This window comes from Homo sapiens, chromosome 8, assembly GCF_000001405.40.
Source record: "Homo sapiens chromosome 8, GRCh38.p14 Primary Assembly".
NCBI classification, from domain to species: Eukaryota; Metazoa; Chordata; class Mammalia; order Primates; family Hominidae; genus Homo; species Homo sapiens.
The window spans coordinates 3,166,155-3,191,592 of NC_000008.11; the positions used below are offsets into that span (position 1 = coordinate 3,166,155).

Below are 25,438 nucleotides of genomic sequence, written 5' to 3' on the forward strand. Positions count from 1 at the left end.
TCTTTTTAGACTTTTAAAAAGAATCATGTACTTTAAAAAAAAAGAATTTTAAAAAGAATTATGTATGATAATTCTTATCACATCATGTCTGTTAGGCTGGGCATGGTGACTCATGCCTGTAATCCAGGCACTTTGGGAGGCCGAGGCAGGCAGATCACCTGAGGTCAGGTGTTCAAGACCAGCCTGGCCAACATGGCCCTGAAACCCCGTCTCGACCACAAATGCAAAAAGTACCCGGGCGTGGTGGTGTGCACCTGTAGTCCCACCTACTCGGGAGGCTGAGGCAGGAGAATCGCTTGAACCTGGGAAGCAGAGGTTGCAGTGAGCCAAGGTCACACCACTGCACTCCAGCCTGGGCAACAGAGCGAGACTCCATCTCAAAAAAATAAAATAAAAAATAAAAAGAGAATGCTAATCAACAAGTCTGCCTTTCCTGAAGTGTTTTAGAAGAACGATGTTTGCATTGATTGAAAGTGATCTCTCATATTGTCAAGCCAGGGGTAGCAGTATCATATAAATAATGGGCAAACCTATAGAAATAGACATTTATAAGTATTTATATAGACACAAAACATAGGTATCTAGGAAGACATATACAAATAAAAAGAATTATTTATTCTTAAGGCAGACTAAAAAGAACTCACAAAACGTAACTATGATAGGAAAATTCTAGATTAATTTTCCAGAAGCAGAGATATCTGGGAAAAAGTAAGCTGTCTTATTGTTTAGGAAAATTTTCAAGAGAAATAATTTGTACTTCTTTCAAATCACAGCATACATATGCTTCATACCATAAATGATAATATATCATATGGGGTGAAGCAATGCTTCTTTAAAAGGTGGTTCACAGGGCGGGGCACAGTGGCTCACGCCTGTCATCCCAGCACTTTGGGAGGCCAAGGCAGGTGGATCACAAGGTCAAGAGTTCCAGAGCAGCCTGGTCAACATGGTGAAACCCCGTCTCTACTAAGAATACAAAAATTAGCCAGGCGTGGTGGCATGTGCCTGTAATCGCAGGTACTTGGGAGGCTGAGGCAGGAGAAGTGCTTGAACCCAGGAGGCGGAGGTTGCAGTGAGCCGAGATCGCACACTGCACTCCAGCCTGAGTGACAGAGCAAGACTCCAACTTGGAAAAAGAAAAAAAAAAAAAAAAAAGGTGGTTCACAAACTATTAGGTTGGCTATCACTTTTAATGGCAAAAACCACAATTATTTTTGTGCCAACCTAATACATGACTCTGAATGCCCAGGTGCCCTGATTAAATGTGAAGACAACATAAAGGTAATTCTTGTGCAATCTACACATTTAAAAACACTTAAACAAGAAAGAACAAAACGCAGGCATTGGGAAAGGAGGTGGGTCTTATGTACTGTAGTGTTTTATACAATATTATCCACTGATACATTTTGTGTTCAATTCCAATGTTAAAATTTGGACATTTACAAAGATGCTTCTATGTAAAATTGCAATTAGATGTAGAATGTAGCAAGAGAAGTTTTTAAACCCCATGAATCCAGCCTATGAAAGCAAAGAATCTAAAACACAGCCATTAAGAAGATGAGTGTCCTAATTTGACCAAAAACACTTTAATGGCTTCACCTACCACTGATCATAAAACGTGAGCATTAAGAATCAGAATATAACAATCAGCCTCATCAGGTCCCTGGAATTTATTGTAGCCATTTTTCTAAATCCATCAGGCAAAATTCTGAGAATAGTTTGCTTAAATCTTCCAGATAAAAATGATTTTAGAACACATGATAAACATGCAATTTTAATCAAATACTTAAAACAGGACAAATGGGACTTTTGTAGATATTATGAACTGAAATGACCTTGGGCAATTTTCCTCAACTGTGCATGACTGGCAGAGTGTAAGGTTTTCAAACATCACAATTAGAAAAAAAAAAAAAAGATATTTCAAACTAGAGAGCTCAAAACAAAAAAGTTGATAAGCAGAGAGTGAGGGAAGCAGACCCATGTGAAGAGATTAATAGAGGAGTAGCATGAAACAGGGTCAAGAAATCAAAATACAGGCGCATACAGACACCTGAGTATTCAACGCCCAGGTAGACCATGAACACTATGTGGAACGTAAGTGGTTATTCTCTAATTTTGAAAAGACAACAACTTGTTGGCTGTAGTGTTTATTGTAATTGACTACATAATTATTCTCTGGCACACGACACACAGATGAAAATTCCTCTTTTTCTAGATGCGCACAGGTATGGCACACCCTAACACAGAGGTGCTGCTCGTTATTTTTGTTAACTCTTAATTCGAAAAATCGCATTAAAGTTGAGATAATGTGCTGGAACATAGGGGAAGAAAGAAATCAAGTCACCCAAGGAGACATCATGTGAGCCTGACAATGGAGGAAGTAAATGTCAAATGCCATGATTATAGACAGCTATAAATGTGGACCTCTGCACCCAGACTTCTATGTCACAGTGTGTAAGGAGTCAGTAAGTCTTCATCACACACACACACACACACACAAATATATATATATATGGAAAACGCCATTAATAACATAGTACCTTATGAAAAGAAAAGAAACTGTTTTATTTATCATCTGGGAAATTTAGATTGTAGAGGTAAAAAGATTTTGTCTCATCTGTAAACTGTTGGCAGGTTTGACACATATCTTAAATGCTATTTCTATTATTTCCACTTGTTACATCCTGCAGTCTCTTCAAAGCATAAAGGAGTGCATGTCTGGTGACAAGGGAAGTGACAAAATACCTTTAGGGGAAGTAAAATGTTCTCTCTCTCTCTCTCTCAGGGGCTCACAAATTATATTAGCATTTTACTGGTGCAGAGAAACTCTGCAGTGATGAACTCTCATCAAGTTTATTTAATACATGGTTTCCAAAATTTCTCTGGTCACAGGACTATTTTGGTCTACGTACCACCCACCAACAACCTGGACCAGTATCCTCATTCATGGGCAGATGGTAAGTAATGTATTCAAGGTCATAAGCCAGGAAATGACATAGCCTCTGCATTACACATGTGCAGGAATCATGCATCTCAGTGAATTACAGACTCCACCCCAAACAGTACAGCCCTGTTTACATCCTAGGAGAAACCAGAGGAGACAAGTTTCAGGACTTTGGATTTGGCATTGATTTTTTGATAGGAGACCACAGTCACAGGTAACAAAAGCAAAAATATACAAATGTGACTACATCAAACATGAAAAAGAAAACAATGGAGTGAAAAGTCTACATTCTGCTGCTAAGTGAAATAAGCCAGTATCAAAAAAAAGACAAATATTGTATGATTCCACTCATATAAACTATCTCTAGTAGTCGAAATCATAGAAAAAAAAAAGGAAATGTGGTTGCCTAGGGCTAGGAGTAGCAAACAGACAGAATTAGTGTTTAATGAGTGCAGAGTTTTGCAAGATGTGAACATTGTAGAGATTGGCTACAAAACAATGTGCATATACTTAATACCACTGAACTGTACGCTTAACAATAGTTAACATGATGTCATGTTATTTATATTTTTATCACAATAGAAAGGACTGAGGAGCCCGCTGAGTCTAGAGCTAGAAATATAGCACAAGTTGAACAAGGCACCTGTGAGATATAGCACGGTTTCTTTTCAAATAGCATGCTCAGCTTCTTATTCTCTAATTCCAAGTACCCCCCACTTTCTTCTTTCTGGTGTCACTACATGCCCAGACATGCCACAGCCCCAGCTCACATTCCTTTCCTGATGTGAGAATGGGCTGGCTCTCTAGTCCTCTGTGGATGACCCCTTCCTCCTCTCCCCTCTCTCCCATCACACGCCCACCTCATCTAAGAAAGTTTAAATGTTTAGCCAACTGAGTCTAAATTGTGCGGCCTGACCCCAGCCAATGGGGAAAGGACACAAGTGCAGGAGTCGCGTTAGGCATAAAAGCTTCTACTCTCCTTTGCGGCGCTGCTGTGGCAGCCAGCCCTGCTAGAAGCACCCTTCTGCGCAAAAGTAAATTTGCTTTGCTGAGAAATCCTGTTTGAGTGCTCATTTTTCTTTACAACTCCGAGTTTTATTTCTTTTTATTGTATTTTATTTTTTTTTGAGACGGAGTCTCGCTCTGTGGCCCAGGCTGGAGTGCAGTGGTGTGATCTTGGCTCACTGCAAGCTCCGCCTCCCGGGTTCACACCATTCTCCCGCCTCAGCCTCCCGAGTAGCTGGGACTACAGGCGCCTACCACCATACCTGGCTAATTGTTTTGTATTTTTAGTAGAGACGGGGTTTCACTGTGTTAGCCAGGATGGTCTCGATCTCCTGACCTTGTCATCCGCCCGCCTCGGCCTCCCAAAGTGCTGGGATTACAGGCGTGAGCCACCGTGCCCGGCCCGAGCTTTATTTCTAACAGCACCTCTAATGTGTGCTTTACCCTCCCATAGCACAGAATATACTGCATTTTAAGTCTTTTGTTTACAGCTCTCTCATTCTGTAGCATGAGCTCCTAAAGATTGATCTTGAATGGCCATTGTGAATTTAATTTTTAATTAATCCATGGATCATGCACAACTGTAGGAAATACAAAGCAGTTCATAAATATGTGAAGATCAAAAATTGTTCACACTTTAAAATAGTGAACTGTGTAAGTTTGTATTTAAAATGGACTATTGAAAACAAGATATGGTCACAGAATCTACCCCTGATTTCTTTAAAGCATTTTCCCACTGATTGGACATTATTACCTAATAATTACATCACATGAAAAGAAACGAGTCAACACACTTGGGTGATGAACTAGTTGCCACATGATTTAGAAATGCCATAATAAAGCGGGCACACAATGTTGAACCACTGAAGGATTTTTAGCCGGATATAATTAATGATCTGCTCAAAGTGACATTTTGGAATAAATCTGAGCATGGTGTTGTGTTGAAAAAAGTCAAGGACAGAAAGATCACTTGAAATTTATGATTATAGTTCATGAGAATGACAAGATTTGGGGAAACAGATATTTTAAAATGAGAAATAAACAAGTGCCCCAATCAGATAGTGTTAAAAAGGCTTGAATGCCAATTATAGATCCTTTATAAAGTATCGCATGACTTCCTGGTGAACTGTGATAGAAGCACTGGGAAAGAAAGCTTCTACTTCATTTTTACTTATTCAACAGGAAGTAAAGAATAGACAACCTGGTGACAGAAAGTGGGGGGACTCCAAGCAGCCCAGCCTGATTTCCACTTCAAATACTATTTCCCTTTTTAACACTCAAAACTTTACTCACCACCCATCTCAATCCCACTGACATGTCTAAAGTCCACTCCCCTGTGTCTAGAGCCTTGATCAAAAGTATGACAGGACTGAGGTTTTCATAAATGATGAGTTGGTGGTTGGCTAAGTCACAGAGCCACTAGTCATTACTTATTCCATGTCTAGACTCTTTATTCCCTAGTTACTTACCATGAAACATTTGCAAGACCTACTGTAGAACAGAGAATTCTTTCAAGTTTTAACATCCAAGACATAAATTTGGTAGAAAAACATCATGAATTCTAAAGTGAGTAAGAATATCCTGAAACCAAAGGAATTATTTAAAAAAATAGAATAATCATAATTTTCAAGTGAGCACAACTTGTCAATGAGACAATATACTTCTATATCTAGCTCTCTATTGAAATACATGCTTTGTAGTATCATCCTTTAGATTTATCCATTATTTGGGAATAGAGGATATAAGTGTGCTCAGATAGTGCCAGTTTAATACTTGTTAAATAGTTTGCATCCTGTGTCTCTATATTTGGGTTCAGAAACCCACTGTGACTCAACAGTTTTCCCTTTCTGTAGCATGCTTCTGTTTCCAAAGGCTAGACTTACCTAAATGATATTATATTTAATGAAAGTAAACTCACTCAAAAACTAAAGGATCTACAAAATCCTGAGAATTCCCTTATGCAGTAAATCGAGCTCCTTGCCTGTCTCAGAACCATGTAAAATCAATGACTTCCAATTATTCTTAGAATAAATCCTGGGCTACAACGTACTGCGCACTGTGGCTCTTGCCCCCTTTTTCAACCTTCTTTCCTTTTCTTCTTTGTCTTCCTTTTCTGACTGCTCACAGCCCTTCCTTGTTCTACATTTTTGTTTGTTTTGTTTCACAAATGTGCTGGGTTCTTTTCCACCTGGGGTCTCTGTATTGATATTTTGCTTTGGCTACAGCGTTTTTTTCCTAAGTGTTTTTATGGCTGACTAATGCTCATTTTTTTTCTAGGGATACTTTTAATCTGAGGCATTGCTGTCATCTGCATCTCAGAACCCCGCCAATTTGCTTCAAGGTGCTTATCATAACCTATAACCAGATTTAGGTGTTTTCTTTCTAATTGTGCCCCCACCTCAAGAATTTAAATTTGAAATTAGCAGAGACCACATTGATCTTGTTGTCTGGTTGTGACTCTACTTACAGAGTCAAGAGGGCAGGGCGAGACATGTGAGTGGAGTGTGTATAATTGGTGGTGCACGTAGGGAACCTACAGGACACTTAAGGGGGGCAGAGAAGGGGAATGGAGAAAGAATCACCCTCAGGGGAGGTGGGAGGAAGGCCCACATGCACTCTGTGAAGGTCATTCCTAAAGAAAAACAAACCAAACATCGTCTCCCATGAGGCACAAGGGCAGTTGAACCCAATGGCAATTGTCAGTTTCCATTGAAACCCTTTCCCACATGGGCAACATTCTAAAACAACAGTGGAGTGAGAAGCGGCAATATTTATCTCATGATTGATGATTTTCTGAAGCAATAAGCAGGAGGTCAGCTTGGAAGTACGTGACGTTACTGATAGGACCTACCACTGAAATAACTGAGGTAATCCTAAGTGGCTGTCCCAAGAAGTGATTGTAGGATAAGTCCACCCCTACCCCTGCCTTGTCAAATACATTAGAACTTGAAACTCCAAAGACTTGTGGAGGACAACTTGATTTCAATCACTTTATTTAGGAAGGAAGTCAACTGAAGCACCATGTGATTACGTAATTTATTTGGCACCTGTCCCTTACACTGAGTAATTGTTAAAACGCCAAAATATCACCAGTAGGAGTAAAATTTTAATCTGTTATTAGTTTTTTGTGTTACACTCAACACACAAATAAATATTGAATGCCTAAAGTAATATTGTAGAAGTGACTTCACATTCCCAGACGAGGCTCTGGAATTCTCTGTGATGTAAGACAGAAGCCAGAATTTACATTGTTTTAGATATTTCCATGGTCCTTGGTGCACTTAGAACAGTAGGGATGAGAGAGACATGAATAATCTTTGATTGATATTAATGAAAGCAATTTTAATAGGACGCAGGAATGCATTGTTTGTGGCCAAACTGTGAAGTTGAAGGTGGGTCTTAGGAAAATTTTTTGAAATGAATATGTGGAAAAAGATCTTATGGAGTAATTAATGTAGAAATAAATGCAGTAAGTGTCTTAACATGAGGCAATGAAGATTAGTTATTACACTATTGGATGAATGCTGGTTTATATGGTCCTTCCTCTGTTGGAGGTAGTAAGCTCTCGTCTCAGTGCACAGAATGAAATCTCTGTAAACACACTCGCTATATTGGAGTTCTGCTTTCTCTATTTATCATGTTTCCTGTGATGTTACTCATGTTCACCAAAATTCCAATTAAGAACTCTCCTCAGTAGTGTTAATGTAATATTAAAGTGCCATTAAAGCATGTATTAATAATTTGAATGTGCTTATAAGGATTATTGTAATTATAGGGGCTAATCCAAGTTATCTGTATTCAATTATGGCAACGTCCTGCCAAAAATGTTGAGTATGTTTCATTTCAAAGGACATAAGGCATTTTCCAGAATTTTAATCCTCATTTAGATACTTCCTTCTAAGTACCTGTTTTGAGATGAGGAAATGAAATGGAGCTCATACATCAGTGAAAACAAGAATTAAGGAAGTATTTTAATGGCACATTCATAAGAAACGTGACTTCACAGTAATATTCTATTGACCAGTGTAATCATCAGCACAGCGAACTGCAGAAATTAATTCAGTTAGTTATATTATGTTCCCAAAATTATATCAGAAATTGAGACAGAGTCCAGGCACAGTGGCTCAAGCCTGTAATCCCAGCACTTTGGGAGGCTGAGGTGCAAAGATGGCTTAAGCTCAGGAGTTGGAGACTAGCCTGGGCAACATGGTGAAAGCCTGTATCTATTAAGAATACAAAAAATTAGCTGGGTGTGGTGGCATTTGCCTTCAGTCCCAGCTACTCCAAAGGCTGAGGTGGGAGGATTGCTTGAACCCAAGAGGTTGAGACTGAAGTGAGCTGAGATCATGCCACTGCACTCCAGCCTGGGCCAGAGTGAGATTCTGTCTCAAAAAACAAACAATAAACAAACTATAAAAATTGAGACATAAAGATCACTTCTATATTTTCTAGAAAAATTTTTAAAAGACTATATTCTCACAAACCTTTTAGAATATAGAACTAAGAGCTTATCTCTCTTAATTACTGTTTTCTTTTCAAAAAGATAATTACGTAAGTAAATACCATTTCCTTTTATGATTTTATTGTCAGAACATTTAAAGCTAAATGTAAAGCCTAATAATAGCTATCTTAAAAATCTAGGTGGCTGATATATTTATAGCTTTCTCTTTGGTTGGGCTGCCTTTAAAATTTTTTCCATTAAATTTTTTTTTATTGTACACACTTTTTTTATGTTGCATCAAACACTTAAAGAGAAGGCAGTTTATCACTTTAAAAAATCTAGATATTCTTATTTTTTACATGTTTGACTATGTATTTTTTGAGTGAGATCTTATTTGTTCATGACATATTTTTTCACTATATAGCTAACTACCAATTATATAAATACATGCAAGAATGACTTAATCAGGTATAAGTTTTGAACTCAGTGCCTTTAAAATAGTAGTACTATATCACAAAATTATCTACATATGTTAATAATTGCAAAATATAAAAGTGTGAATCAAATCAGGTAAAACAGTAAAATATTTATGTTTAGTTTATAACGATAAAATCATTTGACTAAAGAAAAGTAATACTTTGAACATTCAACTATACTAAAAATGTAGAAACAATGTCTCCATTTTACTCCCACCTGGTAAAGAAATAGCGTCAATTCAAATAATGAAAGAGTTGTTATATTTGTTTTCTTCCAATTACCTCTTTTTTCCTCATAACCACAAATCACTGATTCAACCTCCTACGTTATTCAGAATATATTGTAAATGTGATACTGCAATTTTTCTATCAGGATTTTCTACTTCCACTTCCTTCTTTCCTTTCTTTCATCCCTCCCTTCCCTCCCTCCCTTCCTTCTTTCCTTCCTTCTTTTCCCTTCCTTCCTGCCTGCCTGCCTGCCTGCCTGCCTTTTTTCCTTCCTTCCTTCCTTCCTTCTTCCCTCCCTCCCTCTCTCCCTCCCTGCCTTCCTTCCTTCCTTCCTTTTTGTCCTCCCTCCCTCCCTCCCTTCCTGAGGTTGCCTTTGCCATGGGTTTCATGTTTGAGGCCCCGTTCCCTCTGCATAGGCTTCTGTATCTACGAGCAGAGCTTCAGACGTGGGAACATGGCTTCCACACTGGACCATGTCTACTGCTGGGCTACTATGTAAGAAAGAGTAACTTAAATTTGCTTTGCAGAATATATTAGTATTATATCTTATGGATTCTAAATATATTTTGTTAACTTCACTGGGTTTCCTAGTAGTGAATGTGAATTAGGAGAAAAAGTAACCTTTTAAGAAAGGCAGTGAAATAAAAACCTTACATAGAATTACTTTGGAGCTATTTTGACTCAGTGGCATACATTAACACTAAAGAAGCTAGGATAACTGCAACAGTCTTTTGCTTGAGTTCAAACATACCAATTAGGTTTAGGATATTAATTTTGGATAGATGTCATTAGATGAGGTATTGAATGTTTCACTGTCTTGTTAGAAGTAAGCTAAATTAGAAATAACTTGGAAAGACAGAAATACGTATAAGCTGAATCGTAATAATAGTCAAATTTAGTGAAGAAGGCCTGAAAGTGAAAAATATGATTATTAAACAAGTATTATTATATATTAAAATCAAAATACTTTCTATTGTAAGCCATCTCTAAATGGAAAGCAATTCTTAATTAGAGGGAACCATTCTGCTAATAATTAATCTTTAATGAGAATATACATTAAATTTAATTCTGTAATTTATCTGTGAACATCTCTGAATGTTTTCACAGTTATGATGAAATCCATCACTATATTAAAGTTATGTGGGGGACAGATAGATAGATCTCATTAAAAAGTGTGCATTCAAAAAAAACTTCTCCACAGTTAACCTAAAAAATATTTTAGTATTGGTATAACTATCTTTGAACTAGGGCAATTTTCAAACCCCTAAGACCCTTAAAATCTCTAGAGTAATTTTAAAACCTACTAGAGAAATTTTCAGATCCTTACATTGTAAAACCCCGTGAACTAGAACAATGCAAAAATCCCATCCACTTGGGATGTAGAGATCTGCAAAAAAGAACATCCCTCCCACTTTAACAACGTAAAAATACTGAAGTATAAAATGATAGCTTTTCTTGAACCCATCAGGGAGCTGCGTGGCAGGTACCCTGGTGACCTCATTTCCTTTTCTTTCTTTCTTTTTCTTTTTCTTTCTTTTTTTTTTTCTTGAGACAGGGTCTTGCTCTGTCTCCCAGGCTAAAGTGCAGTGGTGCAATCATGGCTGTCTGTAGCCTCGGCCTCCTGGGCTCAACGGATCATCCCACCTCAGCCTCCTGTGTAGGTGGGACTACAGGTGAGGCCACCATGCCTGGCTAATTTTTGCAGTTTTTATAGAGATGAGGTTTTGCCATGTTGCCCAGGCTGGTCTTGAGCTTCTGGGCTCAAGCGATCCACTCACCACAGCCTCCCAAAGTGCTTGGATTATAAGCATGAGCAACCATGCCCAGCTTGGTGACCTCATTTCTAAAGGACAAACTCCCCCAGAAGAGACGAGAGCCGCATGCTACGTGTGAAGCAAAACAATGGGGAAAGGCGACCAGAAAAGAATCATCAGCTTAATAAACACCAACTGTCGCAAGTGGAGCCTGGGCCTCGTGTGACTCTGGATGCAGACGCATGGGGAGTGTGCCCTTCCACCCACAGGCCTCTATCAGGGGGCTATAAGAAAGCCTAGGGGCACAGCTGGAGGCCAGAAAGAGCTCTCCCAGCCCCCAGTGCAGAGGCTCTGTGACGAGAAGGGCGTGAAACACCATGCATGTCCCTGAAGCTTTGCTCTTAGGAAACACAAATCTTAAACCACTGCAGGGGTGCAGCAAAACCTGTCATTTCAGGATCTCATATTATACATAAAGTGACATAAGATTATTTGAAGGTAAGCTCTGCTCTATAAAAGGTGTGTTTCAATCTCTAGGAGACCATTACAATATTAAAAATTCTTCCCTAATAAGCCCATAGTAGGGATAACTGGGGCAATAGAAATACTTAATTACACCAAAATCTGTCAGAGAATGTGGGAAGAAATAATAAAAAAACAGATGGGGTAAATAGAAACACTCCAGTCTCGGGGCCCGTGTGTTCAATCTTGTTGTTCCTCCCACCAGCTTCCACCAGATCAATACTGAGTTCAATAACAGTCACTGCCACCTTGTTGGCCAGCAGTAAGATCCATCCTGTACACCTTGAGGTCAGGCTTTGTAATTTCCAGGATAAATCAATATTATCACCGTTCACACAGTTGCACTCTAAGATATCTGGATATGTATTTTGTCTTGGTTTCATTGGTTTTCTTTAGAAAAGAACGCAGAACAAGAGTGACACTTGTGTTAATTCTCACATGTCCAGTTAAGTTAAATAACGTGAACGAAGACTAAATGGCTATAGAATATATTAATAATTCAAAGATGCTAATCTTTTTGAGCTTTTACTTGGATTCTGTAAGATTACAAAGAATCTAGGTCATATACATTAAACCAGAGGATTCTGTAAGATCCCTGAGACTGTAGATCATATACATTAAACCAGACTTTCTTGGAACTGCTTTTGCTACCATTACTATTTTACAGCCCATCTTTCAAATATAAGTGTTTGGTTTTTGTTTGAGAAATTTCCACCAGTGTCCATTTGGATGTACTATGGTTAAGGGGGCCTTGTTTTCATTTCTATATGAGAAAAGAACTCCTGAGATAGAAGTAGATGTAGATAAGCCTTAATGGCCCAGGTTTTAGAACCAGGCATACTTGATCCTCAGTATGGACTCACAAGCTCCTTGATTCTCCAGACATTTTTCAGAGAGCACTGACCTTTGGTGTCATTGTTTGTAAAACAGCCATCTATACGTCACCTTCCTGGTAGGGTAGTCTGGATACCTCGCAAGGTGCTCAGTAAATGGTATTCGTAATAAAATGCACTTTTCATGCCTGCCTCTGCATGCCATCTGTTATTAACAGTGTGGCTAGGACCCAGGAAGGCTAAAAATGCTCTATGCTCTGTTTCTTCAGTTGGAAGAAATGAGCAGACTTCAAAAATATAGGGCTGTTTTAAGGACAAATAAGTAACAAGCGGTAACAAGTTTAGAGCAAGACCTGGCATAGAGTAAGCGTCTACTTTTTTTTTCCATTTTTATTTCATGGACATAAAATAAAAATCTGAATTTAGAGATTTGTAGATTGGCAGTCCATATCTTAAAATAAATGCAAAAATATGTCAACAAATTTAAGATATCAGAAAATCTTTTGGCGATTTACATCAACAGTCCTGATACCATTTGACGCTAATTGTAGTAAGGTTAATTCTACAAATACTTTCTATAATCTATATTTCTTTTTTTTTTTTTTTTTGAGACGGAGTCTCACTCTGTCACCCAGGCTGGAGTGCAGTGGCGCGATCTTGGCTCACTGCAAGCTCTGCCTCCCGGGTTCACGCCATTCTCCTGCCTCAGCCTCCTGAGCAGCTGGGACTACAGGCCCGCCACCACGCCTGGCTAATTCTTTGTATTTTTAGTAGATACGGGGTTTCAACGTGTTAGCCAGGACTGTCTCGATCTCCTGACCTCGTGATCTGCCCGCCTTGGCCTCCCAAAGTGCTGGGATTACAGGCGTGAGCCACCGCGCCCAGCCTATAATCTATATTTCAAATTCTGGCATGAAGAATAGGAACAGAGAAATGAGTTCCTCTTAATAACTGAATGGCATAAACTATCAGAATGGTGTTAGTATAAAAAACAACCACTTAAAAAAGAAAATAACAAACAAAAATGTGGCATTATGTTTAGCCCAATTAAAAAATACATTAAATAATTAAACAAAAGCTTGGATTCTCAAAGTTCATCTGAATGAGAAATATGTTAGTCTCTCTTTTTTAATGAATGATATTGTCTAGGAATAAAGAGAAATGTAGATAATTATATTGATGGGGCTGAAGCCCAGGTAAGTGCATATCTCACTGTATATAATAATAAGCATAGATGAATTATTTCACTAGCCCCTCTTTCCAAGACAAAGGAATAAAAACCCAGATGCTACAGGATAACTTTGAGAATGATAAGAGCATTCATCAATACTAACTCCCCCAAAACTATTAGTGAATTTTTAAATACTATCATAAACAAGGCTTATGTTTTTCTATCTACAGAGAGTCACAAAGTATATCAAAGTAGCAGATTTTCCAGACACATCCTACATAAGTAACATCCACAGTATCATTTTATACTGTCACTGAAGTAGTCCTCTTCATATAAATTGAAATAAACTTGCAGACAAATGCCCATAATAAGCAGGAAAATTTAACCAGAATGTGAAACAGCCCTGTGGTTTGTGCCTGGCTTAGAATATTTATCATCAGCTGGCAATCTGGCCTTTCAAAAATATGCATGCATTTACATCGTAGCAAACTGTTTATCTCAATTCAAAAGATCACTTATTAAAGCTTATCCATGTATTTGCTTATTTGCAACTGCTTATTAAAGGAGATGAATATCAACGTTAAACATTTTTAGTGCTTGAAAACAGGTCCTAAAATAAACCTTACTCTCATTGGAAATTCTTATTTCGCTTTTACAAGGTTTACCTGCATAATCAAACGCCAAAAAAGATCTGTGAATCTGACCTTTGTCATTCCATTTATCAGACTATTAACTCTGTCTCACATCCATCTTTAAAAGGTTAGAGTCGACTGTGCGATGCCTTCCTCCAATTAAAATGAATAACACACAAATGCAGGCTCCGGAGCAACAGCTCTCTACTCGTTCTTATTTTAACTGCCTTTGAGACTAGAAACAGAAAAGGCTTATGACCATAATCTAGGCAGAAGTCAGGATTGTCCACCTTCTGGGGAATGCTAATATGAGTATTTTTTAATTACTCATAAAAAACTAGTAATATTACAAGTGGTTCATTTTTGTGCTTTTTAATACAAACAACCTGAAATTATAGCAGTTATATCTAATTACTTGAGATTTGAACTTATACATTTACCCATTAATTTGTCTCTCATAATGTATATTTCTTTTGTTTGTTTGTTTGTTTTTGAAACGGCATCTCGCTCTGTCACCCGGGCTGGTGTGCAGTGGTGCAATCTTGGCTCATGGCAACCTCTGCCTCCCAGGTGATTCTCCTGCCTCAGCCTCTTAGGTAGCTGAGATTACAGGCGCCCGTCACCATGCCCAGCTAATTTTTTTTTGTATTATTATTATTTTTTAGTAGAGACGGGGTTTCTCCGTGTTGGACAGCCTGGTCTTGAACACCTGATGTCTGGTGATCCGCCCACCTCTTCCTCCCAACGTGCTGGGATTATAGGCATGAGTCACCGCAACTGGCTTATGTATTTCGTAGAGCCAGATTTCATAACACTAAATTTCATGCAAGTCTTTCACAGTTTTAGAAAAATAATATTTCACTGTTTAATAAGAGCATGATTTATTTTTTCTTTAAAAAAATGACTCAGTATAACAGTGGAAGCTGTATACAGAAAGAGTTGACCTTACTTTTGTATTCCAGGTGGAAACCAGCAGCTGCCACACTAATGTCAGACTGGAAATGCAGGTAGAGTTGGTTGGAAGTACTGTTCAGCAGTGCCGGTACTGTGGTGCCTGTAAGAAACAATGCAGATAGAATTGTAACACTACAAATACATTCACTTTTCTAAATATAAAACATATGAGAATACTTATTAGGCTTACAAATCCCTACAGTTTGTCTGATTACCAGATATTTAATCTGAGTGTTGGTTTTATTATGTATTCAGCCATTCTATTTTTCTAGGTACAATAAAAAGTTACCCATTGTCTGCTCTGACCTGCTCAAGTCGATGTGACACCTTTCTCTTGTACAAAAACTCCTATTGTAGCATGAGGTTTTTTTGCATTGTTTTATCCATGTAATCTTCTGCTTCTTAAATTTATTTTTTTACTTGACATGAACAGAGAGGAAAGAAAAGTTCAACAGCCAAGAGTAATGAGGGTTGAGGGAGCAGTCGGACCCTGTGGATAGTGATCTGACATATCCTTCAGAAGACGTTGCTTTTGACCCTGTATATATGCTCTTCCTGATCCCTATGTGACTCATGCTTAGTAATGTTCCCCCTGGATCTGTTGATGATTTCAACTAAAGATGCATGAAAAGGAATATATAGGGCTATTTTGACATAGTGATTTCTTTACTTAAAATGTTCTAGCCTACATCACAGTAACTAACCGATTGGAAAGGGCAATACAGATACCGAGGACCAGGGTAAGAAAGAAGTAATGATGCTGGCAGGTGCTGAGGAAAAGAAAATCGTTCATCACTCAGAAGTTTGAGACATTTTGGTGGAATGAATCATAATATGGAAAAATAATAGACAAGTTTAAGTCACTTTTTTCCTGATGTATGTTCAATACTCTAGTAAAAACATTCTCTAAATTGGAAGTGTAGACATACTCGATGTCAAAGAACTATCCATTGTGTAAAAATAACCACAGTGTAGATAAATTATTCAAGTACTGCTGTATAAAGGGAGAAATGATAATTTAAATAACAAAGCAAAGAAATAAGTTGATAATTATTCCAAACAGATGAACATTATTGAAAAGATAAGATTGTCTATCATCCTTAGCTCACCACTTAAACTATCCAATATCCCCCAACAGATTTTATTTTTTTAGATGGAGTCTCGCTCTGTCACCCAGGCTGGAGTGCAGTGGCACAATCTTGGGATTCTCCTGCCTCAGCTTCCCAAGTAGCTGAGATTACAGGCATGCTCCACCATGTCCTGCTAAGTTTTGTATTTTTAGTAGAGACGGGATTTCACCATGTTGGCCAGGCTGGTCTCGAACTCCTGACCTCAAGTGATCTGCTTGCCTCGGCCTCCCAAAGTCCTGGGATTACAGGTGTGAGCCACTGCACCCGGCCCCCAAGAGATTTGATCAGACCAATAACCCCAGGCAAGGACTCTGGCTGTCTTTTTATAAGAAGCTGTGTGTGTGTGTGTGTGTGTGTGTGTGTGTGTGTGTGTGTGTGTGTGTGTGTGTATTGTTAGTAGAGAAGGGGGACTCTGGCTGTCTATAAGAAGCTGTGTGTGTGTGTGTGTGTATGTGTGTGTATTGTTAGTAGAGAAGGACTCTGGCTGTCTCTTTATAAGAAGCTCTGTGTGTGTGTGTGTGTGTATTGTTAGAGAAGTGGTTTCACCGTGTTAGCCAGGATGGTCTCGGGGGACTCTGGCTGTCTCTTTATAAGAAGGTGTGTGTGTGTGTGTGTGTGTGTGTGTGTGTGTGTGTGTGTGTGTGTGTGTGTGTATTGTTAGTAGAGAAGGGGTTGTTAGTAGAGAAGGGGTTGTTAGTAGAGAAGGGGTTTCACCGTGTTAGTTAGGATGGTCTCGATCAACTGACCTCGTGATCCGCCCGCCTCAGCCTCCCAAAGTGCTGGCTTTACAGGCATGAGCCACCGCACCCGGCCTAGAAGAGGCTTTTTAAACATGAAGTGTGTCGAACTAAACGCCTAATCTATCTATCCCTGAAACATCGAGTAGGTCTCTAACGCCTAATCTATCTATCCCTGAAACATCGAGTAGGTCTCTAACGCCTAATCTATCTATCCCTGAAATATCGAGTAGGTCTCTAACGTTTCTTAACGATACCATCGGCATCCATCCACGTCACAAACTGAACGCCTAATCTATCTATCCCTGAAACATCGAGTAGGTCTCTAACGCCTAATCTATCTATCCCTGAAATATCGAGTAGGTCTCTAATGTTTCTTAACGATACCATCGGCACCCACCGACGTCACGAACTGAACGCCTAATCTATCTATCCCTGAAACATCGAGTAGGTCTCTAACGCCTAATCTATCTATCCCTGAAATATCGAGTAGGTCTCTAACGTTTCTTAAAGATACCATCGGCATCCATCCACGTCACAAACTGAACGCCTAATCTATCTATCCCTGAAACATCGAGTAGGTCTCTAACGCCTAATCTATCTATCCCTGAAATATCGAGTAGGTCTCTAATGTTTCTTAACGATACCATCGGCATCCACCGACGTCACGAACTGAACGCCTAATCTATCCATCCCTGAAACATCGAGTAGGTCTCTACTGTTTCTTAATACCATTGGCATCCATCCACATCATCACATTCAAAGCTTCCTCTTTCTCCATGACCCCAGACTGCCCTCCAATCAGTCATCACGCCTTAACTGGCGTGCATTCTAAATATTTTCCCAAATTATTTCACTTAATTCATATTATTTTCACAACAATCACCCCAGTGCAGGCAGCCTTATGTTAACCAGAATTAGTGCAATAATCTTCCAACTTGTTTTTTTGAGCCTGATCTTTTCCTAATTCAATGCATTCTCCATTCAGCAGTCAGAAAACACTTTACAAATGTATATATGATGAGACATGTTAAAATTCTCATAGATTCCTGATCATCTTAGGACCAAATTTCACACTCCTTGATTTGGCCCAAAGACCCTGCATGATCTGACTGCTGCTTGCTTTTCTAGCTTCTTATCATTACTTGTTTTTCAGAATCATTTTTTCTTGCTTCAAGAGGCTCTGTATCATAGGCCTGGGATGTTCGTTCCTTCTCCTTTGATTCACTTTGACTTTCCTATTTCTATTCATTCAAATATAACCACTTATTTCCCAAACTAAGCCACTCACTCAATTCAATAAACATGAGTTTATCAGCCAGATAAACTACTAACTCATTTTCCAAACATACTAGTTATTCTCTGACTTCGTGCAAAGCAGAACCTTCCCTGATTAGGACACAGCCTCAAAAACTTGAACCTCATCAAATCCTTAAAGGCAATGAGCAGACCAACGGTGCCATGCAAAATATGACTGTGACAGCTTTAATCTGTCTTCAGTTCTGCTCTTATCACATTCATCTCCTGCCTGGGCTAATGAAATAGCCATCAACTGAGCTTCAGAATGGATATTTGCCTTCTTCTTACGCATTTGTTCTGCACACAAAATAACCTGCTTACAATTAAATAATGCTTGCACATTTTATTTCTATACATGGGCATACGACGTGTCTTTTAATAAAATTTTAGGTCAACTTCCTGATCTATACTGTGCTTTCAGGACTCATCCTATGGAGATGGGGAAATTTAATCTTTACCATGGCTGGGAATTCCTTTCCTGCCTCAGGATAGCCAATAGTCTCAGACTTTTGAGTCCTTGACTCCTTACTTCACATAAGCTCATTCTCCAACCTTATCCGGACCCTTAAATTTTAGCAGTTTCATGTTTTTGTGCACACCTTTGATAGAATGCTCTTTGACAAGTCCCTGCTCCAAAATCTAGCCTAAGTGCATCAGGCTACCACTTTGTTTTCAAGGTCCTGTCACATCCCTGTTTTGTCCTGGTTTGTCTCCTTTATAATATAGTCTTAATCATATGTATAAGTCCATTGCTTTCTCAAGTTCCGTGAGGTACTCTAGGGAACTATCAAGAACTGAAGGGACCATGGACCCCCTAAATTTATAGCCAGTTGGTCAGAGTGCAGGTGGCCTGGGAGGCCCCGAGGGCTTGCAGCTGACGTCAGAGGGGAGTCCTGTGGAGAAGCATGAAGTGCACGAACTCCGTGCTAACTCCAGGAAATTAGCGTCAGAATTGCATTGCAGTGGTATTTATGTCAAACATATTTTTTCAAATTTTCTCCTGGCTAACTCCAAAAACTGAAATTAATAAAAAGGAGATTGTTGTTATTTTTCATGCATACAGAGGCAATGTGGTCACTTCTTTTTTTCACTATTATTAGTAAGGCATTTCCCTGCTAACTTTGGCTAATCCATCATGCAGCTGTCTTAATTTTGCCGTCTCCTGCTTTCTGCTGGTAATGCCTGCATTTGTGTGTAAAATGTGTTCTGTCACAGATTTATGACTGAGAACATTAGGTTAAAAACAATTCAATATTTAATACTCTCTTTTGAAAAATTAACCTATTTCTAATATTAGGATATATGAAATTATTACACATCTGAAGCTAAGTTCACTTGTGATAGTTACTCGAGGGAAGGCTTAATATGAGGTTGCTGTACAGCAGTTGATAAATCCAAATATATGTGAATGATAAGATTTGATCCTCAGACAAAACGTGGCAAGACACATACTTTCTAAGCAGGTTTTACCAACTGAATTCATAAACTGTGAGGTAGGTGCTAGGAATTGTGCATGACACTCAGAGATTAATATAGATTCTGAAGAAACTTAAATCTCTACAAACTAAAAGAACACTTTACTTAAAAATGAGCAACACAATTCAATATCTGAGTGTAGAGAAACAGACACAGACTGCATGGCTCCCGTGACTTGAAGGATTTCCTGTCTCTCTCTGATTTGTCTAGCTATATTTTACTAATCTGTTAAGATATTTTAATTTATTTTTCCCAGGTAGCTTTTTTTTCTCTTACATCTTAAAAAAAAAAAAAGTGTGACTTTTTTCCCTCCTGTAACACCCATCACCTACCTGTAATGCTGTCTATTTACCAAATATTATTTATATAATTACATTAAGTGTTGGCATCTGTGTAGATTTTAACTTGTGTTGTTGTTGTTGATGATGTTTTTAATGAGAGAGGCCTTATCTTGTATTCCTAACAACAAACACAGTGTCTGATATCTAGCAGGTACTTTAAGAAATCACATGCTAAACTAAACTATTGGAAGAGCTATGTGGTCAGGGGAAGAAAGAGGGATTTCCTGGTGGAGATGGGCCTTGAGTTCTAGCTTTTAAGGACAGTAATGGGCTATTTGAAATAAAAGTTCCTAAAAGTATAAATAGTACACAGGCAGACAAACATGGATTGTGAATGACAGATAACAATAAGATGATAGATTGGCACTTTATTCCCAACACCTTAAATGGCCATGCCCAAATAAAAATATGGTTTTATTTGCTGAGAACCAGAGATAAGATCTTTGAACCATTTGAAGTGATAAAATGGAAGTTGTATCAGACACTGTGAATGGCCTGTGCGCTATCTATTTTCTTTATGTTTTTTAACCTATTGAGTAAAAGTAGAACGGAAATATTTAGGGAAAAAATATCCACAGTTAAGAAAAAATATATATTCCAGCCTCCCTTTGCAGTAGAGATAAACAACTGACAGAATTCAGACAAATGGGATAGAAGGAGTCAGCTACTGCAAGCAAGAAGGGACTCATGGAAAACAGTACTTTTTCTGTCATCTTGGACAATTCTCTAGTAGCTAATCTTTGTTCTTCATTGGTAAAACAGAGATAGCAATAATCCCTTAGAACTTAGTTGGTGCTGTCATATTGGCTACTTTTGGTAATTTTAGTAGAGACAGGGTTTCGCCATGTTGGCCAGGCTGGTCTCGAACTACTGACCTCAGGTGATCCGCCCACCTCAGCCTCCCAATGTAATGCCGGGCTTACAGGCATGAGCCACTGCACCTGGCCATACTCAAGATAAAATTAAGCATTCATGTTAACAGAAGTTCATAACTGGCAAAGTAAAGGCTCAGGAAATGTGGGCAACTGTGAGGACAGTGATGACCAGGGAGATAATCGCAATACTGATCATCATCACTGCTCATGAAGTTTGAGTCCTAATGCTATTACAGTGTAATGCTATTACAAAGCAAAGTGAAAGAAAGCGGTGTCATGCATCTGGAGGCAGGATATCCTGTTAAACAAAAGCAAAATTGAGATTGAATGACGCTCGAGGGCAATGGGAAGGGAAGACTTGCAGGGCATTTGGAGAGCAGACTCGTCAAGGCGGGTGCATTCGTGAGAGTCGGAGGTGCAAGGAAGACTAAGAGAGGGTGGACTTGCAGTGGACTACAATTTCGTGCCTGGCTACATATGAGTAGGGTAGAATCTCAGGACTAGCTGAGCCCACATGCTCAGTGTAATTTTCCCAGATTGCTTAATGTCAGGCTGTGCATTTTAAGAGTTGAGAACCGTTTCCTAACCTCTGCCTCTTTGCTACCTCACATTACTATTCCTGGCTTCTGCTGCCAGCCTGAGACCTGCCGCATGTCAAAGCTCTGCTATCTGACACTTTTAGATTGGTCTCCTCCTCGTGGAGAACACAGCTTTGTTTTTACTCACCTGTTTCTTGATGGTCTTACTCTAAGACTTTCAGCACTAGAGCAACCATTATGGAGATAGAAGAATTGTGTAGGAAAATTTCTATGTGGAGTGTTTGCTGTTATTTATGTTGTTTTCTTGGTGTTTGCAGATTTTGAGTCACACAGGTGAGGAAATTGACTCCATCTTACCTGAGAAGCTTCCCAGTCTGGGTGCGGTCACATCCCCACCATCGTGGATCTCAAGGGAGTCCCAGTTCTGCTCCGTGGCAAAACTGATCACTTGGATCTACCAAACCATGACATTAAGTTAATATTTATTTTTGGCTTAACACAATTAGTCTAATTAGATGGGGTTTTGGGGTTTTTCATGATTAAGGTGTATATGTATATATATATACATATGTATATGTATATATATATACATATACACCTTAATAATGCCTCCAATGCCATATATATATACATATACACCTTAATAATGCCTCCAATGCCATAATATTATATATATATACCTTAATCATGAAAATCATCTACATGTCTATCTATCTATATATACATGGCAAAATTTAAAAAAAACAAAACAAACCATGAAAGAACAATTTATTTTTCTTTTTCTTTTCCTTTCTTTTTTTTTTTTTTTTTTTTGAGATGGAGTCTTCCTCTGTCACCCAGGCTTGAGTGCAATGGTGCAATCTTGGCTCACTGCAACCTCCGCCTCCCAGGTTCAAGCAATTCCCCTGCCTCAGCCTCCCTAGCAGCTAGGATTACAGGCGTATACTACCATGCCTGGCTAGTTTTTATATTTTTAGTAGAGACAGGGTTTCACCATGTTGGCCAGGCTAGTCTTGAACTCCTGACATCAAGTGATCTTCCTGTCTTGGCTTCCCAAAGTGCTGGGACTACATGCATGAGCCAATGCACACGGCTGAAAGAACAATTTCTACAAATGGTACTTTTGATAGTTTTTATTTTAAAAAATTGATTATATTTATTCAAAATATAGAAAAATGGTTAGAAATATTTTGTTGAAATACTAAGAAAAGGGAAACAGAGTATAGTCTATGTATTTAAAATAACCAGTATAAAAGGAAAAAAGAGAGAGGGAGAGAGAGAGAGATGGAAAGAAACATAGAACAAAAGAATGAAAGAAAGAAGCCCATGGACCCCAGCTGAGCCCTGTTGTAGACTGTGGACTTCAAGGACTCACCTGAATTCCCGAGCCCTCCGTAACTATGATCTTCCATATACAGTTCAAGTTGTTTCCGTATGGCTCAGGGTAGCCGGGGGACAGGATTGTACCTCTTCGTTGAGTGAAATTGCCACTGCAGGGTACTAAAAGACACAACCATATGTCATGAAATAAAGTGCTGTGGGACAGTGTTGATTTGGCATGCAGTTTTCTTTCACTGTGTGACCACACAGTAAGAGAAAATGTACATGAACAATGATACGTTAAACGGCACTTTTAGCCAAGGTAAAATTCAGTGTATTCTCTTTTAAATTAGCAAAATAATTATTACCTATTATGCTACTCAGTTATAGATCTTGAGTCTATAAATAAATCTATCCAAGTTCTCTAAGAAGGGATGATGTCCAATGATGGCATCTCCAAAGTGAATTCTGTTTAGAATAATTTACCTACTATAATTTAAGGACCTTGGCAGAGTTTTCTCTTCTCCATGCAGACATGCATCTCCAAATGATATTAATGGGATTTATGAGCAAATTCAAGAGAAGAGGCGCTTAAAATGTACAAATGATTCAAGTGCTAATCATGATTGCGCTGGAGCTTTCCACACAAAATGAAGCAGGTAAACTATAACTAACAAGGTCACTGTTATTCAGCCTGCATTTACCTATTAATTTTCAAAGATTCATCAGCACCAATTTATTAAAAGGACGTTACACAAGTAATATAGCAAATCAACATGATAATGGTTTTTTCCCAAAATGAGATTATGTTCCACACCCATAACTTTAGAGTTGATGGCCTACTTCATAAATATGGAGAAGGGAAACATGCTTTATCCTTGTTAAGATGATGAGTTGTTTTATGAAACACAATAATTTTTAGGGTTTGGCTACTAACTCAATTACTTCCCATGAAACAAACTGCCCTTTAAATGGGTCATGAGCCAGATGGATTTACGTAGCCTGGATAGAAACATGAGAAGTAACTCTTTGGCACCACCACAGAGTTCTGGCGGGCAGCCGCTTAGGGACACTGCTCACCCACACAGCTGGGGATCGTGTCGTTCCACTGTGCCAAGGCGTTGGGCACGGACTGGCAGTGGAGCGCCGTGGAACCCTGAAGCAGGTATCCCGGGTTGCACTCGAATCGGACGATGGAGCCGGCAGAAAACTCAGAACCAATTCTCCTTCCGTATCTGGGCTCGGGGACAGAGCTGCATTGGGTGTCACTGGTACGAGGAACAGCTAGAAGCAAAGTACAGAACACAGCCGTCTGTATCTCCATCAGCAAGCCAGGACGTTGCGTGGAACGTGGGTTTAAGATGGGACCAAGGAGAGCTGATGCAGACAGAGAATTTAATAACGACTCCAACAATCGCTATAGAGAATGATTTGAGGCGCTGGGACCACGCAGAGCTGGTGCAGATAGAGAAGTTAATAAAGCCTCCAACAATCGCTATAGAGAATGATTTGAGGAGCACGTTCCCAACTGTACTTCGCCCTCAGGACCATCTCAGTGTCCTCACTTCAGATGAGGAAAACGGCATAAAAAGACTCAGTGCCTTATGAGGACGGATTGATATTCAGGCGATTACATTTAATCATCCTGCTAGTGATAATGAGATGACTAACCATGCGTACTTGTCCTCACAGGCCTCTGAGTCTAATGAGAAAAGCTACCATATGAAGGATTTGTTATAATATGGCCATCGTGATGTAATAAAAATCTTAAACTACCATCAGATCCAGCAATCCCACTCGTGTATACTTATCTAAAGGAATTTAAATTGGGATCCCAGAGAAAAATCGGTACTCTCACATTCATTGTAGCATTCTTCAAAATAGTCTAGATGTGCAAACAACCTAAATGTCCATCATCAGATGAACAGATAAAGAAAACGTGGAGTAGATAAAAGAAGAAATTCTGCTATTTGTAATAACACGGATGAACCTTGAGGACATCGTGCTAAGTGAAATAAGCAAATAAGCAGCCACAGAAGAACGAATACCTTATGATTCTACTTCTATGGGGAGATCTAAAGTAGTGGCACTCATAGAACCAGAGAGATTTACAATGGTAGTTACTGGGGGCTGGGGAACAGGAAAATGGGAAGCAACTGTTGAGTGGCTATAAAGTTTCACTTACATAAAATGAGTATGCCCTGGAGACCTGCTCTACAGCACTGTGTTTATAGTTAAGAGGGTAGATTTTTCTAATGAGAACACCTGCTCCACGTGCCATCATGTTGCATTTAGTCCTCTCTAAAGTCACCTAGGATGAGCTCAAATCCTAACAAGCCCCAGCCGGGTGCAGTGGCGCAAGCCTGTAATCCCAGCACTTTGGGAGGCAGAGGAGGGTGGATCACTTGAGGTCGAGAGTTCGTTTATCAGCCTGGCCAACAGGTGAAACCCCCGTCTCTACTAAAAATACAAAAATTAGCCGGGCATGGTGGCACATGTCTGTAATCCCAGCTGCTCGGGAGTCTGAGGCAGGATAATCGCTTCACCCTGGGAGGCATAAGTTGCAGTGAGCCAAGATCACACCACTGCACTCCAGCCTGGGTGAAAGATTGAGAAAAAAATAAATAAAGTAAAAAATGAAAAAATAGCAAGCCCCTCCAGTTCTCTCTTGATGAGACTTTCCTAGGTTCTGTAAAATGGGAGGCCTTCATTGTTGCAGCAAGCAAAAACCCAGGGATATGGAATGACGTGTGTGTATCTC

General features: G+C 39.1%; 1 protein-coding gene across 5 annotated transcripts in view, besides 1 other annotated feature; it reads right to left on the bottom strand.

Annotated features, from left to right (window-relative positions):
- Positions 1 to 25,438, bottom strand: part of CSMD1 (CUB and Sushi multiple domains 1) — a 2,059,554-nt gene that overhangs the window by 230,794 nt on the left and 1,803,322 nt on the right. For all 5 annotated transcript variants that reach the window (XM_011534752.3, NM_033225.6, XM_011534753.4 and 2 more), the window contains 4 exons: positions 23,758 to 23,961; positions 22,733 to 22,857; positions 21,715 to 21,811; positions 14,956 to 15,060 (listed from right to left, as the gene is read on the bottom strand). In XM_011534752.3, the coding sequence (XP_011533054.1) occupies positions 14,956 to 15,060; positions 21,715 to 21,811; positions 22,733 to 22,857; positions 23,758 to 23,961 (531 nt within the window). The remainder of the gene's footprint in view (positions 1 to 14,955; positions 15,061 to 21,714; positions 21,812 to 22,732; positions 22,858 to 23,757; positions 23,962 to 25,438) is intronic.
- Positions 2,266 to 3,465: an enhancer, noted in NCBI's record as "MED14-independent group 3 enhancer chr8:3025942-3027141 (GRCh37/hg19 assembly coordinates)". NCBI's record gives its function as "activates an origin of replication core promoter dependent on BRD2, BRD4, P300/CBP and CDK7 cofactors, and independent of MED14, by STARR-seq in HCT116 cells {active_cell/tissue: HCT116}" and the evidence as "EXISTENCE:reporter gene assay evidence [ECO:0000049][PMID:35650434]".